This window comes from Homo sapiens, chromosome 19 (genome assembly GCF_000001405.40).
Source record: "Homo sapiens chromosome 19, GRCh38.p14 Primary Assembly".
NCBI lineage: Eukaryota > Metazoa > Chordata > Mammalia > Primates > Hominidae > Homo > Homo sapiens.
The window spans coordinates 42900437-42918397 of NC_000019.10; the positions used below are offsets into that span (position 1 = coordinate 42900437).

A 17961-nucleotide genomic window follows, 5' to 3' on the forward strand; every position below is an offset into this window, starting at 1 on the left:
GGCCAGCAACCTGCAATGCAACAGGGCTCTTTCTTTGTTCCCAGGCAGATCGGCAAGTTGAGAAATAAAGGACACACACAAGATAGGGAAAGCTGTGTCCAGGGGTGTCACCGCCTTCTGGTCCTGCGATGCTGCCAATGCACTGGATACACCAGCATTTATTATTAAGTTTAGTGAGAGTGGGGGTAGTTTAGTGAGGGATTTAGGGTCATTTATAGGCTCTCCATAAGGGTCACATTCCTTTCCCAGAGCTACAGACATCTGCTTTTCTGGGATAGGAATCTTGGTAATGTGAAACCTCCCTGACTGCCCATCCATTCATAGGCTCTCTGCAGGGGGAAGCACATCACGTGCTGTTGGCTCATTCTGGCAGTCCAACCTGGCATTTTTCTTTACACAATCCTTCATGCAATTTTGTACTTACAATAATCAGGAGCTTTAAAGGATGTCTTGTTATGTAAAAATGTGTTGGCTGGGTGCGGTGGCTCATGCCTGTAATCCCAGTACTTTGGGAGGCTGAGGCGTGTGGATCACCTGATGTCGGGAGTTCGAGACCAGCCTGACCAACATGGAGGAACCCTGTCTCTACTGAAAATACAAAATTAGCTGGGCATGATGGTGCATGCCTGTTATCCCAGCTACTTGGGAGGCTGAGGCAGGAGAATCACTTGAACCCAGGGGGCGGAGGTTGTATTGAGCCAAGATTGTCCCATTGCACTCCAGCATGGGCAACAAGAGTGAAACTCCATCTTAAAAAATAAATGAAGTGTGGTTGACATGATATATCTGACACTGTTAACTTACTCTCAGAAGCTACTTCTTGTGAAATCCTAAGTACAGCATTATTCTGGGAAGCAAAGGAGACAGGCATAAGCAAGGAGAAATTAAGAGAGGTAAGAGTCTCATCATGATTGATAGTCTTGTTCTGACATCTTGAGAAAAGCTGTCCACAGTGTAAAGTCATCAACTTGTTGTCGTGGTTTGCAGTTTGAGTGTCTCTAAGTTATGGTGTTGAACATTTGGTGAGCTTTTAGTGGCCCACACCTCAGACACGAGGGTTTTCCCATGAAATTTACATTGAGTTGTCCACCTCCAGCTTATATGGCTTCAGGAACAGAGCTGCTCTTGTTCTTAATGATTTCATTGGAGAAAATTGAATTGGAAGAACTAAAAGAATTCAGGGTCCAGTCCAGTCTACCAGTGGATTATAAATACTCAAAGATAATGAACAGTAGTGGTTCAATCTGGTAACAGGTGTACTACAGTTTTTCTTTTCAACTAGTTTTTCTCTCTATAGGAGTCTCTAATTTTACCAAAGATAATTCCAGTAGGATGAATTTGTTTGCAAAATAGGTTGAGTCTCACCGAACTTGCCCAGATTTTTTACCTAAGTGCGGCAAGAGTAGCCGTGGACCATAGAGGCTCTTTTTAAACGTCCCTTTGCTAGAAGTTTTTAATAAGAATCTCAGATGAAACTTCCAAAAACCTCTTGAGACTAGGAAACTAAACCAAGACCAACTTCAGACTTTGCCTGCTTTCCCTATGGGTTTATTCTAGGTATATTATCAAATATAACATCCCAGTAAAAGCTTTGGTAATATAACCAATGTTTTCAAATGTGTCCTGTTATAAAGAGAGCAGATTCTTACTGAACTTGTGCAAATAACTTTATTACCATAAACCTATGAATACTCATGAATAGTTTCCCAATTCTGGGGCACTCAGATAGAGAGCAAAAGCAAATGTTTCAATTTTTGTTTACAAAAGTATACTTTACCAATTGCTGAAGAAAAAAAGTTCATAAATCTGGAGAATAAAACATTCCAAGAATCAGCACATTTTCCAATAAAAAATTATGAAAACATTATCCTTTTGATTATTTAGTCCAATAACATTGAGTTTTTTTCTTCTTTGTCTTGAATTTCATGAAGGTATCAACCTGTTCTTTTTCTCAGTGTCTCTATTGTGGCAGCCATTAATGAGACTCTGTCTGGTTTCCATGGCAGGGACCTGATTGACAGAAGGCCCAGGTCAGCGCATTTCAAATTCACTACCTCCTTTACAGAGAAAGCTTCTTTCCCACAGGCTCCCAGCAAGGGTGTGAAAGCAAGTCTAGTTCTCCGAGGCTCTCTTTAACTCCAATGGGTGACTGGTTGGAGGATTCCTCATCAGCCTTGCAAAAACTCTTAGAACTGCATTGGTACCTAAAACTTCTTTCTCTTTCTTTTTCACAGGAATCAGCTCTGCATAGCGGTCTGTGGGTTCTCCCATACTACCTTCATGCCTGCCCCACATTCCCTCACAGGTGTCTTCCCTGATAAATTATCTTGTATGTCTAATCCCATCTTGGATGCATCTCAGTTGGTAAAAACTAACATACCAGACTTGATTCTTTGCACTTAGCTTTTTTTCTTTCTCTCCCACAATTAGTCAGTAACCATGTCCTAGTGTTTTATGTGTTACCGCTTTTTTCATATCTATGGAAAAAGGTAGGTACTGTTGAGGTGCACTTTCTATGTGCCAGGCCCTGTGCTCAATACTTTACCTGTATCTCATTTAATCCACACAATAACCCTGTCAGGTAGGCATTATTTCCATTTTGCTGATGAAAAGACAGAAGCTTAGCATGGTGTAAAAACTTTCCTGGTGTCATATGGCTAGTGACAGGTGGATCTGAGATTTGATTCTAGGACTATTTGACCTCAAGGCTAATGATGATGGTAGTAATATAGCAGCTGACATTGGTTCCTCTTTGTGTGGCATCTTGTTTCATTGACTGCATTAAACCTTTAAAAGAATGGTATGAAGAAAGTACTCTTATTGCAATTTTCAGGTGAGGAATCAGGGGTTCAGAGAAGTTGAGTCTTGTGCAAGAAATTTATAACTGTAAACTCTTACATTAAAAAAGAAGAAAGAGCTCAGGTCAACAACCTACTTTAATACTTCAGGATACGAAAGAAGAACAAACTAAACCCAAGCACAGTGAATGAGGGAAATAATAAGTATTAGGGTGGATATAAATAAAATGGAGAATGGAAACAGAATAGAGGAAATTACTGAAACCAAAAGTTGATTCTTCAAAATAAAATCAACAAAATTGACAACCATTAACTAGATTGGCTAAGAAAAAAAGAGAAAAGATAAAATTACTCAAATCATAAATGAAAATGGACTCTGAGCATGGTGGGTCATGTTTTAATCCTAGCACTTTGGGAGGTCACAGCAGAAGGATTTCTTGAAACCAGGTGTTTGGACCAGCATAGGTAACCTGGGGAGATGCTGTCTCTACAAAAAAAAAAAAAACCAATTAGCTGGGCATGTTGACATGCACCTGTAGTCCTAGCATCTTGGGAGGCTGAAGAAGGAGAATTGCTTGAGCCCAGGAGGTTGAGGCTGCAGTGAGCCATAATCACACCACTGTATTCCATCCTAGGGTGGCCTACAGAGTGAGAGCCTGTCTCTCTGTCTTAAAAGAAAAAGAAAAAAGAAAAATGAAGCGATTACTACCAATTCTAATAAAATAATGATTATGAAAGTACTATAAATAATTGTATGCCAATAAATTGGATAACCTAGATGAAATAGACAAACTCCTAGAAACACACAAAAATATGAATATAACTATAATCAGTAAGAAGATTGAATCAATAAAAGCATTTGATGAAATTCAGTATTTTTTCATAATAAAAACATTCTAAGAATGGAAGGCAACCACCTCAACATAAAGGCAATATGTGAAAAACCCAATGCTAACATCTTACATAACAGAGAAAGACTGAAAACTTTCCCTGTATGAGCAGGAAAAGACAAGGATGCCTGCTATTGACACTTTTATTCAACATAGTAGTGAAAGGTCTAATCAGAAAAATTAGGGAAGAATTTTTAAAAAGACATTCAAATTGGAAGGAAGGAGTAAAATTATTTCTGTTTATAGATAACTTGAACTTATTTGTAGAAAATCCTAAAGATGGAACAAACCTATTAGAATTAATAAATTCAGTAATGTTGCACAATACAAAATCAACATTCAAACATCAGTTGTATTTCAATACACTAACCATGAACAATCTGAAGGGAAATTAAGAAAAATAATTTCAATTTATATTCACATCAAAAAGAATAAAATATTTAGGAATAAGTTTAACCAAAGAGGTGAAATGATTATACCTGAAATCTACAAAGTATTGCTGAAAGAAATGAAAGATGACATCAATAAATTGAAAGACATTTTGTGTTCATGAATTGGAAGACTCAATATTGTTAGGAGGACAGTGCTGCCCAAAGTGAGCTGCAGATTCAATACAATTCCTATCAGAATCTCAGTGACATTTTTGCAGAAAAAGAAAAATCTGTCCTAAAATTTATATTGCATCTCATGACTCTAAATAGACACACAGCTTTGAAGAGGAAGAATGAAGCTGGAGGACTCACACTTCCTGATTTCAGCATTTACTACAAAGCCCCAGTAATCAATACAGTGTGGTACTGGCATAAAGGAGGACATAGAAATTAATGAAATATCATAGCCCAGAAAGAAATGCTTGCATATATGGCCAAATGATTTTCATCGAGTGTGCCAAGATCGTTCAATGGGGAAGGGACAGTGTTCTCACCAAATGATATTGGGAAAGGTGGATATCCAAGGGCAAGAAGAGTGGAACCTTTACCTAACACCATGTACAAAAATTAACCCACAATAGATCAAAGATCTAAATGTAAGAGTAAAAACTATACAACTCTTAGAAGAAAAACTTCATGATAGTGGATTTCACAATGATTTCTTGGTTGTAACAACAAAAGCATAGGCAACAAATAAAATGGATAAATCAGACTTCATAAAAATCAAAACCTTTTATATAGCCCATGCAAAGTTCCTCAGCATCACGAATACTTAGAGATATGCAAATCAAAACCACAATGTTACAACACCTCACACACTTTAGGATGGCTTTGATAAACAACAACAATGACAGCAACACTAAACAACAGGTGTTTCCAAGTAGATGGAAAAATTGGAGCTCTAGTGCATTGCTGATGGGAATGGGAAATGTTATAGCCAATGTAAAAAGTAGTGTGGCTGTTTTTCAAAAAATTAAACAATAAATTACCATTTGATCCAGCAATTCCCCTTCTGGACATACTCCCTATAGAATTGAAAGAAATTTGAAGAAATATTTGTACACTGATGTACAGAGAAGCATTACTCACACTAGCCAAAAATGGAAACAACTGAAAAGTCCATTGAAAGATAAGTGGGTAGGCAAATGAGATGTATCTATACATTGAAATGTTATTCAACCTTAACAAGGAAGAAAATTACAATACATCGTGCAAAATGGATGAACCTTGAAGATATTATGCCAACTGAAATAAGCCAGACACAAAAGGATAATTATTATATAATTCCATTTATAAAAGATAGTTAGAATAGCCAGTTACATAGAGACAGAAAGTAGAATGGTGGGTGTTAAGGGTTAGGGGGAGAAGGAGTGAGAGTTACTGTTTATTGGGTACAGAGGTTTAATATGGTAAGAGGAAAAAGTTCTGGAAATGGATAGTGTGATAGTTACACAACACTAAATTGCACACTTAGTTAATGGTAAGTCTAATATTAGATATATATAAAGTGTCTCGTGGTCTTGCCCTCTCTATAATTACACACTTTTTGGCACTGCCCCTTTCCTGCCATGCAGAGCCCCAGGGGTGAATCTCCCTATTTCTCTAGCTCTGCATCAGTCACTGTCCTCCGTGCTGTGTCCCACGTGCTGTGCCCAAAGCCTCATACAGCTGGTGACTTCAGAGCCAGGATGCAGCTCAGGAGTCAGCCCTGAAGCTCCCTCTCTTCTTATTTCCCTGCAGCCTGGCCCGGGGGAGGCTTGGCTTCAACTGGCAGCTCGATTTAGCCAACTTCAGGACAGGCCACCAGGGCCCTTTCTCCACACATGTTGGTTCCACCCCAGGTGGAGTCAGGCAGGGCCAGGCCAGTCACCAGAGGAGCCCGGAGCAGAGCAGGAAGCAGAGTCTGAGCTGCTCCTCCCTCACCCAAAGGGCTTCCTCCTCTCATTTGGGGGAAAAGTGTGAGCTTGTTTCAAAGCCTCAGATGTTCCTTGTAGCTCATGGAATAGGTACAAGAAAACAAAGACATGGCAGAAGGGGATGTGTTCGTGACAGCGAGAAGCAACTTGATCTTGAGGACTCTCCTTCTTGTCCCTCTGTGAAGCCTCTTCTACCACATAGGGCTCAGGGCTGATAAAGCCCCCTCCCTACCTTTCTCAGGCCAGACACAAGGTCAGCCATGAGAAAACAGAAAAACAAGCAGAAGAGAGTCTGTAGAGATAAGTTGGGAGGGTTCAGGAGGAGAATTTGGGATTTGCTTGTGCCCATGGGACACAGTCTGGGAATACAAATGTTTTCCTGACTCTTCTCTGAAAGCCAGATAGACTCCACCTAAAACCCTATTGCCAAGGATGCTGGGATCCACTTACCAGAGACTTTGACTATCATGGATTTGGAGATTTCCTTGCCAGTGGCTGAGTTACGAACAGAGCAAGCATAGAGCCCGCTATGATTTGTAGTAATTTGGGGGATAAAGAGCTTTTGTCCTGATAGCTGAAACTTCCCATTAATTGTCCAAGAATACTCTGCCGGTGGGTTAGAGTCCGCAAAGCAGGACAAGTCGAGGTTTTCTCCTGAACGGTAATAGGTGAATGAAGGGTAAATTCTGGGGAGGTCTGGACCATCTGGAGGAAAGAGAATAAAGCCACAGGTGATGTCATCCAAGGGAAGGGGATGCTCCTGGTCTCTTAAAGGGACACAGTGACCCTCTGAACCAAGACACAACCTCAAGTGACAGCCAAATCCCATCTATGTTTACTAAGCCCAAGCCTGAGGTATTCCCCTGTTTCTCTCATTACAAGCTGTGGGCCCCTAGTGTCCCATGACAAGAGCGCCCCTCCCCTTATATTCTTGGTTAAGGCTGTGCCTACCCAGGATTTCCCAGGGCAGGGAGTCATGGCCAGGTCTGATGTCCAGAAGTAAAGTTGTCTATACTTGGACCGGAGAGAGACTGAGAGGCCTGGCCTCTGGTCGTTTGGAGTTAAGCTGGTGTCCTGGCCCACAGAGGAACAAAGGATACTCACAGAGGACATTCAGGGTGACTGGGTTACTGCGGATGCCACCATATCGGTCCCGTATTTCACATTGATAGGGTCCTGTTTCATTTCTCGTGACACTGGGTAGAATGAGTATCCTGTTTTCAATGGGTCGCTTTACCCTCGGACTGACCGGGAGGCTCTGACCATTTAGCCACCAAATGTAGGTGTAGTTCCGACTCTTAGGTTCACAGGTGAAGGCTAACACATCCTTCTTCTCCCTGGGGTTTAAGTTGTTGATGGTGATGTAAGGCATGGGCAGCTTCGCTGTGTGGATAACAGAAGATTGTCCTGTGTGGCACCTTTGATTCCTCCACAGGCATCCTTCATTCAGAGTTGGCATCTCCCACCTGTCAACCCACATGAGTCCTTGAAAGCCAGTAGCTGGTGCATGTGTCACAAGACAGATGTATGATGATCTAAGGGCTCAAAGACTGTGAGGCCTCCTGCTCTGTCTTAGGGAAGCACAGACTTTCTCAAGTGTCAATTGAGCAGCAGTGTTGGGTCATGGACAGACACGTCAGTGGGAGTCACAGCCCCTGGTACCCCTCCCAGTCCCTCCATAATCAGTTGACTGGCTGGCTCACCCTGGGTTCCTTACCTGGAATGTGCAACTGCTGGGCCCCTTCCAAATTACATCCTACTTTGCCCCCCTAGATGTGATTTCTCTGCAGCTTCCATTTCCAAGGACATTCTAGAGATGAGTAATAATGGGACTTCCCATTGTCCTGAAACCCTGCAGATACTGAGCAGCCTGGCCTGGGACTGGATGTTTCAGCAGAAATAACACAGGGAAGACCAGAGTCAAGCCTGTAGGTCAGTTCAGTCATCAGGCACTAGAGGCACCAGGTGGGGCAGTTTTTTTGCAGGTGTTTCATGATGACTTACTTGAACCAGTGACCTCTAAAGATAGAGCAGAGTGCAAGGAATGATCTAGAAAGAGTGAAGGGGACAGGCAAGAGCTGGTGGCTTTGGAGCAGAAGCATGTTCCCTGTCCTGGGTTCTTTAAGTTTCCTCTCCTTCTGCAGAGGGCAGGTGAGGACCATGTGGATCTTTCTAGAAATACATGTGGACATTTGCAAATGCAGAACTGAGTGGTGGAAAGGGTGGGAATGAACTGCTGGAAATCTAGTCCTCATGGACCATGTGTGTTTGATGGATATGAGACAAATTTGGAGAGAAGTTTTGCAAATATTTTCTTTCATTGGACATTCTACTCTCTGATTCCATGGGTTCCACTAATCTAGGGACCTCATGTAAGTTGATTCCAGATTGAATATGAGACGAGGCTGCTGGAAGCCAGGAGCTGGGAGTGGGGAGAATCAGAAGTTGTTCATGGGTGTGCAGTTTCAGTTATACAAGTTGGAGAGGTTCTAGAGATCTGCTGTAGAGCTTGATGCCTATAGTTCACACAGATTATCTCTTATGCATAAGTTTTAGGACAAAAAGTGTTTTGGATTTCTGATATTTTTTGATTCTCAAATATTTGTCATATACTTACTGGTTTAGCATCCCAAATCTGAAAGATTCAAAATGTAAAATGCTTCAGTGAGCATTTCTTTTCAGCATCAGATTAGTAGGCAAAAGTGGGAGGTGATAAGCCAGATATATTCTTGCCCTTTTTTTTCTCTCACCATGTTTCTAGCTTGGTGATTAGTTTTCGGTGAATTCCATAGTGGCCATGCTGCACTCGTATATTTTTGAAGGCTTTGGGATGTGAGAAAGGCTGATTGCTATTTTCTATGTCATCAGAACTTTCCACCTTTTCTGGTTGCTTCTTTTTCTCAGTGTTTGTGTTGTGGCAGTCATTAAGAAGAGCCTGTCAGCTCAGATTTAGGACAGAGTTTTCTAAATTCTGCAAAAAATGTTACTGGGATTCTGGTAGGGGTTGCATTGAATCTGCAACTCAATTGGGTAGTATTGCCTTTCTAACAATATTGCTTCTTCCAATCCATGAAAATGAAATGTGTTTCCATATATTGATATCGTCTTTAATTTCTTTCAGCAATGTTTTGTAGTTTTCAGGGTATAATCATTTGACCTTTTTGGTTAAACTTATTCCAAAATATTTTATTCCTTTTGATGTTAATGTGAATTGAAATTCTTTCCTTAACTTCCTTTCAGATTGTTCATTGTTAGTGTATTGTCTAAAGAATGATCTAGAAAGAGTGAAGGGGACAGGCAGAAGCTGGTGGTTTTGGAGCAGAAACATATTCCCTTTCCTGGGTTTTGATTTTCCCTCTCCCTTTGCAGAGAGCAGGTGGCTCTTCCCTGACAGCTAGATAGACTTTACTGGAAAACATGGTGCCAATGCTCCAGGGATCCACTTACCAGGGACTATGATCCTCTTGATTATGAGATTTGTTCCACCAGTGGCTGAGTTATGGATGAAACAGACATAGACCCCTCTATATGTTTTAGTGATTTGGGGTATAAAGAACACTTGTGCTGATTGCTGGAACTTCCCATCAATCAGCCAAGAATGCTCTGCCAGTGGGTGAGAGTCTGTGAGGCAGGAGAGCTTGGGGACTTCCCCTGTATGGTAATAGGTGTATGAGGAAGAAACGGTGGGAGCATCCAGGCCATGCGGAGCAAAGAGAATAATGTCACAGGCGATATTGTCAGAGGGAAGGGAAAATCCTGGTCTGTGGAAGGGACACAGTCACAGTGACCCTGTGAGCCAAGTTGCAACACTGAAGTCCCAGCCAAATCCCCGCTGTGTTCACTGATCTGGAGCCTGAGACATTCACCTGTTTCTTCCATCACAAGCTGTGGAACCTGAGTCTCCCATGACAGGAGAAGCCTCTTCTCTCTTATTGTTGATCAAGCCTAGGCCTACTCTGGTTTGCCTGGAGCAGAAAGTCATGGCCAGCTTTGATGTTCAGGGATAAAGGTCTCTGTACTTGGACCTGAGAGGGACTGAGAGGCCTGGCCTCTGGCCACTTGTATTTGGGATGGCAGCCTGGCTCACAGAGGAACAGAAGATACTCACGGAGGAGATTCAGGGTGACTGGGTCACTGCGGCTGGCACTCACTGGGTTCCGTATTTCACATTCATAGGGTCCTGCAATATACTTTGTGACACCAAATAGATAGAGGGTCCTGTTGGTTTTGGACAGCTGCAACCTGTGAGTCATAGGGAGGTTCTGACCATTCAGCAACCACAGGTAGCTTGCATCCGGAGTCTCAGGATCACAGATTAAGCGCACAGCCTCCATGACCTCCCTGGGGTTTAAGTTGCTGCTGGAGATGGAGGGCTTGGGAGTCTCCGCTGTGCAGAAAACAGAGAGAAGATTGCCCTGTGTGGCACCTTTGATTCCTCCAAAGGCATTTTTCAATCAGAGTTGGCATTTCCAACCTCTCAGCCCACCCAAGTCCTTAAAAGCCCATGGCAGGTGTGTGTGTTACAAGACAGATGCATGGCAACCTGAGGGCTCAGTGATTGTGAGGCTGCCTGCTTTATGTAGGAGAAGCATGGACTTTCTCAAATGTGAATTGAGCAGCAGCATTGGGTCATGGAAAGACACAGGACCAGCAGTCACAGCCCCTGGTGCCTCTCTGAGTCCCTCCGTCTCCAACTGCCTGCCTGGCCCACCTTTTGGTCCTTACTTGGGGCATGCAGTGCTGGAATCTTGTTAGTTTCAGTCTCACTTTGCCCCCTGAGGTATGTTTTCTCATCAGCTTCCCTTGCCAAGGACATCCTAGAGATGGATGATGGAACTTCCCATTGTCCTTAAGCCCTTTGGGTATTAGAAAGCCTGGCCTGGAACTGGGTACTTCAGCAGAAATAACACAGGGGAGACCAGAGTCAGGCCTGGAGGTCAGTTCAGTCATCAGGCAGTGGAGCCACAAGGTGGGGCAGTTTTCCAGGTGTCTCATAGTGACTGAGTTGAGCCAATGACTCTAAAGATAGAGCAGAGTCCAAGGAATGACCTACAAAGAGTGAAAGGGACAGGCAAGAGCTGATAGGTTTGGCCCAAGACCATGATCCCTGTTCTGGGTCCATGATGCTCCCTTCCCCCTGTAGAGGGCAGTTGAGGACCATATGGATCTTTCTAGAAATACATGTTGATGTTTGCAAATGCAGAACTGACTGGTGGAAAGGGCAAACATGAACAGATGACAGAAGTCTGGCCCTCAGGGACCTTATGTGTTTGGTGGATATTAGACCAATATTTGGGAAGAAGTCTTGCAGATACTTTCTCTTATTAGACATTCTACTCTCTGATTCTGAGTTTGACTACTCTATGTACCTCATATCAGTGGATTCCAGAGGGAATCAGAGATTAGAATAGTAGTTTGCAGCAACTGAAATCACGGGTATAGGGCGTTGTTCCGTGGGTGTGCGGTTTCTGTTATGCAGGATGAGGAGGTTCTAGAGATCTCCTGTGCAGCCTCGTGCCTATACTTCATGCAGATACAGTGCTCCTTATGCAGAAAGCTTAAAACAAAGTGTTTTGGATTTCTAATTTTTTTTATTTTGGAATATTTGCAGTATATGTACTGGTTTAGCATCCCAAATCTGAAAAATTTAAAATCCACAATGCGCGAGTGAGCACTTCTTTTTAGCATCACATCAGTGGTCAGAAGTGTTGAGTTTTGAGCATTTCAGATTGTGGATTTCTGGATTTCCGATGCTCAATTTGTAATACTGTAATTTTCCCATAAAAAGTTGTCAGGAGTTTAGACCTCATGTTATATTCTGACTCTAGTAACAAAAAAAATTTGGAGGAAACCTTAAAATGTTTTCATAAGTGGAAATTTTTACTGATGGTCCAAACATCTAAGATCAATTGCTGGTAGTCATATTTCTCTTGAGACCAAAATAAGGTTTAGGTGTGCCATGAATTCCAGCAGGATCACATTATGCTCAAAGAAAGATGCCAAAGGTGATTTGAAATTAGCAACTCCTTAAGTAGAGAGAGTCCTGTTAAAAGGACCGAACTGGTTAGTGTGTCAATTACATAAAAGGAGGAAGGATGCCAAATTAAAAGAAGTGATGTGTGTTATGTTAGTAAATATAGAAAGAACCTGCTTCTAATTTCTGTGCAGAGTTACAAAACATGGGGAGGACCCCAAAACAGGTATGTGAAATGTCTTCTTCATTTTCTCTTAAGGTCAGGAAACACCACTAAAATTTAAGTTTGTGTGAATTAGGAAGAGTCTAAGTGAGATGCCAATGGCTCTTGTGTCTCCCCACACGAAGAACTCCAACTTATGAAAACGGCATCATCATGAGGAAATAGTTGTATGTGGCACAGGCAGTAAAACCATGAGATAGGACCTACCTGGCCACCTCCATCTGGTCCCCAAACCACAAGTATTCCCGTTAAGTGTATGTGACAGCCTTTGTAGTTGTCCCACAACTACAAAATTTAAAAATTGCTATTGTCAAAACAAAATATTAAATATGAAGTTGAATATGTTGTTCCGCTTTTTTTCCCCACTCTTTTTGAGCTTTCCTGTTTCAGTTTTGGAAGTTTCTATTGACACATTCTCAAGCTAGGGATTCTTTCCTCAGCTCTGTGCGGTCTATCAGTAAGCATCAAAAGCATTCTTCATTTCTCTAACAGCATTTTTTTTTCTGAGACAGAGTCTCGCTCTGTCACCCCAGCTGCAGTGGCATGATCTCAGCTCACTGCAAGCTCCACCTCCTGGGTTCATGCCATTCTCCTGCCTCGGCCTCCCAAGTAGCTGGGACTACAGGTGACCACCACCATGCCCAGCTAATTTTTTGTATTTTTAGTAGAGACGGGGTTTCACCATGTTAGCCAGGATGGTCTCTATCTCCTGACCTTGTGCCCGCCTCAGCCTCCCAAAGTGCTGGGATTATAGGCGTGAGCCACTGTGCCCAGCCATCTCTGAAGGATTTTAATGAGTTGTTGACTTTTGAGTTTGTTCAGCTTTTTACTTAGTGTTAGAACCGAGTGACAAATTTCAAGCTTGTTTTATGCCTGACAGGAAGCCAGAAGTCTCTAGAAAGTGACCGGAGAATGTGAGCTCCATAGCAGGTTGAGGATGGAGTCACTAGTGAAATGGGTGAAATGAGCCTATGGGCTTAATTGCTCCTATAATTGCTCCTATAGATAACATCACTATTGTAGAACGTGAGATTGGTCTTTTGAAATGTTTCTCATTCTTTTGCCTTCTGACAACCGGCTGACCTCATCCATACCTATGCCTAATGGCTCAGCCAGTCATGTGGCCCCTACCTAGAGGCAGATTCAAGCACTAACAGATCATTTCCCTCCGCCCGCATGATTCCATCACCAATCAGCAGTACTCATTTTTTAGTCCTGTGCCCCTGAAACTATCCTTGAAAATCTCTAACACCTGATCCACTGGGGAGGCTGATTTGAGTAATAATAAACCTCCACCCTCCTGTTTGGCAGACTTGGAGTTCTTAAAATCTTTCTTTACTGCAAACCACCATTTCAATAAATTTTATTTTATTTTATATTTTTTTGTGTGCAGGAGGCCAGAGGAACTTGTCTGGCAATTACAAGGGTGGATGGGGGAACTGCCTATCCCTGTCCCATGGTCTTGTCCACAGGTCAGCCTCACAAAGGGAAAGAGCCCTGGATGGGAATACAGTGGAAGGTTTCTCTTAGTGACCTGGGGACATTGGCTCGAGAGGAAGCCTGGCAGGAGTGGCAACTCCAGGTGATTTCTGCACCTTTCCTATTTCCTGGGAGGTGGGCCAGGCCACAGTGTTAGCGGGAAGGGAACAGAACAGCCAGCCTAGTTAGAGGGAGTGTCTGGGGAAGGCCTAGGGTTGGAGGAAGAAGCTGTGCAGGACAGGGCTTGCCAGTCAGAATGAAGTGGGAGGAAGATGAGGGACACAGAGAAGCAGAGAGAGGCAGAGACACCATGGCAGTGAGCAGTGAGGGAGACACTGACTTCAAAAACCCCAGGGACCAGGTGCCCCCAGCTCCACAGTCCAGGACCAAAGAGCCCTGAGAACCCTCCGGTGGCCAAAGAACTTCAGAGTTGCATGAGGTGGGGTGGCTTTAGGGTCAAGAGGTAGTGGGGGGATGAAACATGGGTGTCAGCCTCTGAAGGACAAGGGACAGGTGTGGCTAGAACCTCCTAGGATTCTGATTCCAAGATCCAGTCTCTAAAGAGGTTTTGGATCATCCATTTCTTCATTCCATTCCTTCATTTGTTATGTGAGAGCTCCTGAGTGTGTCTCTCTCACTGGGCCTGTGCTGAGGCAGGGTGTGAGTGGGGAAAGAAAACAAGGTCCTCTCCTTGATCCTCTCATGACGGTGACATGGACACTTGGGAAACACAGGATTTCACATTCAGTGATGGAGGTTAAGATCTGAGGGGGAGACCTGGACATTTTTTTTGCACTGACTCTGGCGGTTGAAGCCAGTGATTTAGTTCTGGAGTACAGACTAATCAGCTGACCATTTGCTCTCACTCCTCTGAGGTTTGGATGCCTAAGAAGAGAGGATTTGAGTCAATAAATGACTATGGGGTCCTTGGAACCCAGTAAGCCCTCACTTCTGGTAGAGGAGAGGATGGGCCTGTGGCTGCAGACAGACCTCATGTGACCCCGATCTCCCCTTTGTGTTTGTGTGACTGTGGCTCAGTGACTGTGCCTTCCTGTGCCTCAGTTTTCTCTCAATCAAATGAGCTAAATGGCAAATGGACTGTGGCTTTTCATGCTATCTGTGAATAAATGTTAAAGTATTCACAGTCAACTGACTTAATGCTTGGCACAGTGGAGGTGTTCACACAAACAGCATTTATTATTAATTTGCTTCCATGAGAAAGCACCTTTGCGTCAGATCCCTGTGGACAAACGGCTACCTGGTGCATCTTCTCTCTTCTGTTTCTGCTTCTGGGGATATTAGACTTTCTATGGAGTGTCCTAGGCCTCCTAAGGCAGTTGGCTGATGGCCTACAAAGCTTGTCTTTCTGTCCTCTCCACTCTGAGTGTCAGGTGAAGAAAGCTCTGTCCTTGCCCAGATGAGGCTCTGAGGACTGAGCCCTGGCTGGTGAACAGCTCCAGGAGACACAGTCCTCAGACAGCTGGTAAATCCTTGGTCCCAGTAAGCCCTGCCAAAGAAGCCACAACCCAGTCCTGGCACAGGCTCCTCAGCTTTACCTGGAGCAAGGATTTAGGGACAGGGGTCTGGGATTGAGGCTTCCAGAGCTGAGGTTCTCTGAGGGTATCTCAGTGGGCCCCTCAGGCCAAGCCCTACTCAGTTTTCCAGGGTCTTTCTCAGGGTCAAATTTATGAAGAGGGCATGAGGTGCTTGGCTGAGACTGATCTCCTCCTGCTGAGTCCCCCCATCAGACTGTCCTTCCTCTGCAGCGAGTGTCTGCAGGGTCTGGATGCGGGAAAGGAATTCTGATCTGTTGAAATGTGTCTCCTCTGTGTGTGTCCTGCACTAAATGCCCAAACCCCAGCATGGGACATAATGCAGAGAGTGACACAGGCAGAGTCCAGGCCTGACAATTCTGTGTGTGTGAAGTAGAAATGACCCCTGCCCCCCAACACCCAGGGATCATGCGGAATCACTCACAGTATAAGGTGACAGTGAAATATCCAGTTACTCCTCCAGTCCCATCGCCTCGCTTTATGATGTGTAAGGTGTAGGATCCTGCATCCTCCTGTGTGACATTCTGGATCAGCAGGGATGCATTGGAATATACTGTTTCTCGTCCACTGTAGGCAGGCCCATATATAATTTGACCGTGTACTACATATGATGTAATGTAATGGTAGAGGTCCGTCATTTGCCCTTTGTACCAGATGTAGCCAGTAAGATTCTGGGGCAAATTGTGGACAAGTAGAAGAACATCCTTCCCCTCGGAAACTTTGGGTGGCTTGGCTTCAATTATTACTTGGGCAGTGGTGGGCAGGTTCCAGAAGTTTAAAAGTGATGCTAGGAGGTAGAGACAGCATCAGTTAATATTTGGACCTATGTATTGGGGTGAAAAGATGGGGCCCTGTGTCCTGAGAAGGTCTCTTCAATCATCAGCCTTGAAGATATGCACACACACACATACAAACACACACACACAAAAGGGCATGTGTGTTTGTGTGTGTGTATGTGTGTGTGTCCTACTGTCCTACTAGGTCAAGGTCAGCAGCATGACCCCCATTCCTTCAACACTCCTGACCTTGGCATTTTTCTGTTTGCAATCCTCTTCCCCAGGGGTCCGCACGGCCCCCTCCACACTGCCCTCAGGTCCTGCTCACATCAGGGCATCCTTAGACTTCTTTCCTGATGCCTGCTTCAGAGACCCTGGGTCTTCCCTTTCTGACCTTTCCCTGCTCTGCTCCCTCTAGGGTTCTTGTCAACACCTGACCTCACATTCTATATCTCTTTGCATGTCTGTCTTCCTCCCCATGAGAGTGTGAGCTCTGTGAGGACAGAGACTTTTGTCATGTTGGTTGCACCCCAGTGCCTGGAACAGGATGCAGACTCCTGTAGATGTGAGAGTTCTCAGGGCCCTCCATGCCCTGGGTGTTTTTTTTCCCCCAATTGTTGAGGTTTTTTGCTGAGGAAAGTGTTTCATGCCCTGGTTACATTTTTATTTGAGGTGTCATCTGATATAGTCATTATTATCATTTTTCAAAATGTGGTGGCCCCTGATGATTAATCAGGAAAACAGAACACTTAAGATTTTACTACCTCTTACCAATTCCGGTTCAATGTGACTTTCCTATTTTGACCCCTGTCCCTCTCTGGTGTATTTTCCCCTATCCAGGCTCCAACAGAGCCTTCTTTCCCTTTTTTTCTTTCTTCTTTTTATTCTTTTTTTTTTTTTTTTTTGAAATGGAGTCTCGTACTGTCACCCAGGCTGGCGTGCAGTGGTGCTGTCTCGGCTAGCTGCAACTTCTGCCTCCTGGGTTCATGTGATTATCCTGCCTCAGCCTCCCGAAAGCTGGGATTACAGGAGCACACCACCATACTTGGTTAATTTTTTGTATTTTTTGGTAGAGACACGTCTACACTGTGTTGGCCAGACTGATCTTGAACTCCTGATCTCGTGATCCACCCACCTCAGCCTCCCTAAGTGCTGGCTTCTTTTATTTTTTAGAACCCCATCCTCTCCAGGATACCCCATCCAGTCACTCTGCTTCCTCCTCCTGTCCTCTCCCAGGAAGTCCTCTCCTCACCTGTGAGCAGGAGCCCCTTCCAGGTGATGTGCTGAGTGCAGGGAGGGGCTGAGAGGGGTCCCATGGTCTCTGCTGTCTGTGTGTTCTCCCCTGTGGAGATGAGCCTAGGATCCAGAGACTTCCTGAGCAGGGCTGTCAGGTGTGCTGTCCTTCCTCCTTCTGTGCTGAGCCTCTTCCCAGGGCAGAAGCACTTCTCAGGCTCATGGGCGGGGTCAGGCCCAGGACACCTCTCTGTCCCCTCCTCTCTCAGTCCTGCCTCCTTGTCCCTCCTTCTGTTTTTCCTTTTGTCTGTGTTTCAGGTCCCTGGGAATTGTGGAGGCCTCTGCCTTTTTCAGCAGTGATTCTTTCACCAAACCTCAACACACACTTTGTGCAGACACACACACACACACACACACACACACACACAGACCCACACAGTGACACACATACCCTGCAGGTTGGGCGAGGACAGTCCTGGGCCTCAGCCTCCTGCTGTCCCCATGGCTCTGGGTCGGGGTGCACATTCATGCCATTTGCCCTCTTTCATCCCCATCTGGCTCTCCCCTTCAGTGCAGGAGGCTGGAGCTGCACCAGGTCCCTTTCACAGTGATGTCCCATTGTGCTGTGGGTGAGCTGTGTGTTGCCTGGTGAGAGGGACCCTTCCTTTTTCTAATCGTGTCTAGCTTG

The 17961-nt window shown here is 44.3% G+C and overlaps 1 protein-coding gene across 2 annotated transcripts; it reads right to left on the minus strand.

The window, feature by feature from the left end:
- Nucleotides 1–1649: 1649 nt before the first annotated feature.
- PSG6 (pregnancy specific beta-1-glycoprotein 6) lies at nucleotides 1650–17458 on the minus strand. Of its 2 annotated transcripts, none has more exons than NM_001031850.4 (6): nucleotides 17293–17458; nucleotides 15689–16051; nucleotides 10144–10422; nucleotides 7140–7418; nucleotides 6486–6740; nucleotides 1650–2010 (listed from the first exon to the last, which is right to left on the minus strand). In NM_001031850.4, exons 1-6 carry the CDS (start codon nucleotides 17354–17356, stop codon nucleotides 1976–1978), a joined length of 1275 nt encoding a protein of 424 aa, NP_001027020.1. In that variant the 5' UTR covers nucleotides 17357–17458; the 3' UTR covers nucleotides 1650–1975. The 2 variants fall into 2 exon arrangements, with proteins under 2 accessions (NP_001027020.1, NP_002773.1); NM_002782.5 differs by lacking the exon at nucleotides 1650–2010 and adding an exon at nucleotides 3180–3285.
- Between the last annotated feature and the right edge of the window lie 503 nt (nucleotides 17459–17961).

What these genes read in the sequence shown, in the direction of transcription:
- PSG6 (NM_002782.5), bottom strand. Translation starts at nt 17,356, where the DNA reads ATGGGACCCCTCTCAGCCCCTCCCTGCACTCAGCACATCACCTGGAAG. An exon ending in GAAGGGGCTCCTGCTCACAG is followed by an intron (nt 16,052 to 17,292) that starts GTGAGGAGAGGA and finishes TCTACCTCCTAG; the next exon opens with CATCACTTTTAAACTTCTGG. An exon ending in AGTCACCCTGAATCTCCTCC is followed by an intron (nt 7,419 to 10,143) that starts GTGAGTATCTTC and finishes TTATCCACACAG; the next exon opens with CGAAGCTGCCCATGCCTTAC.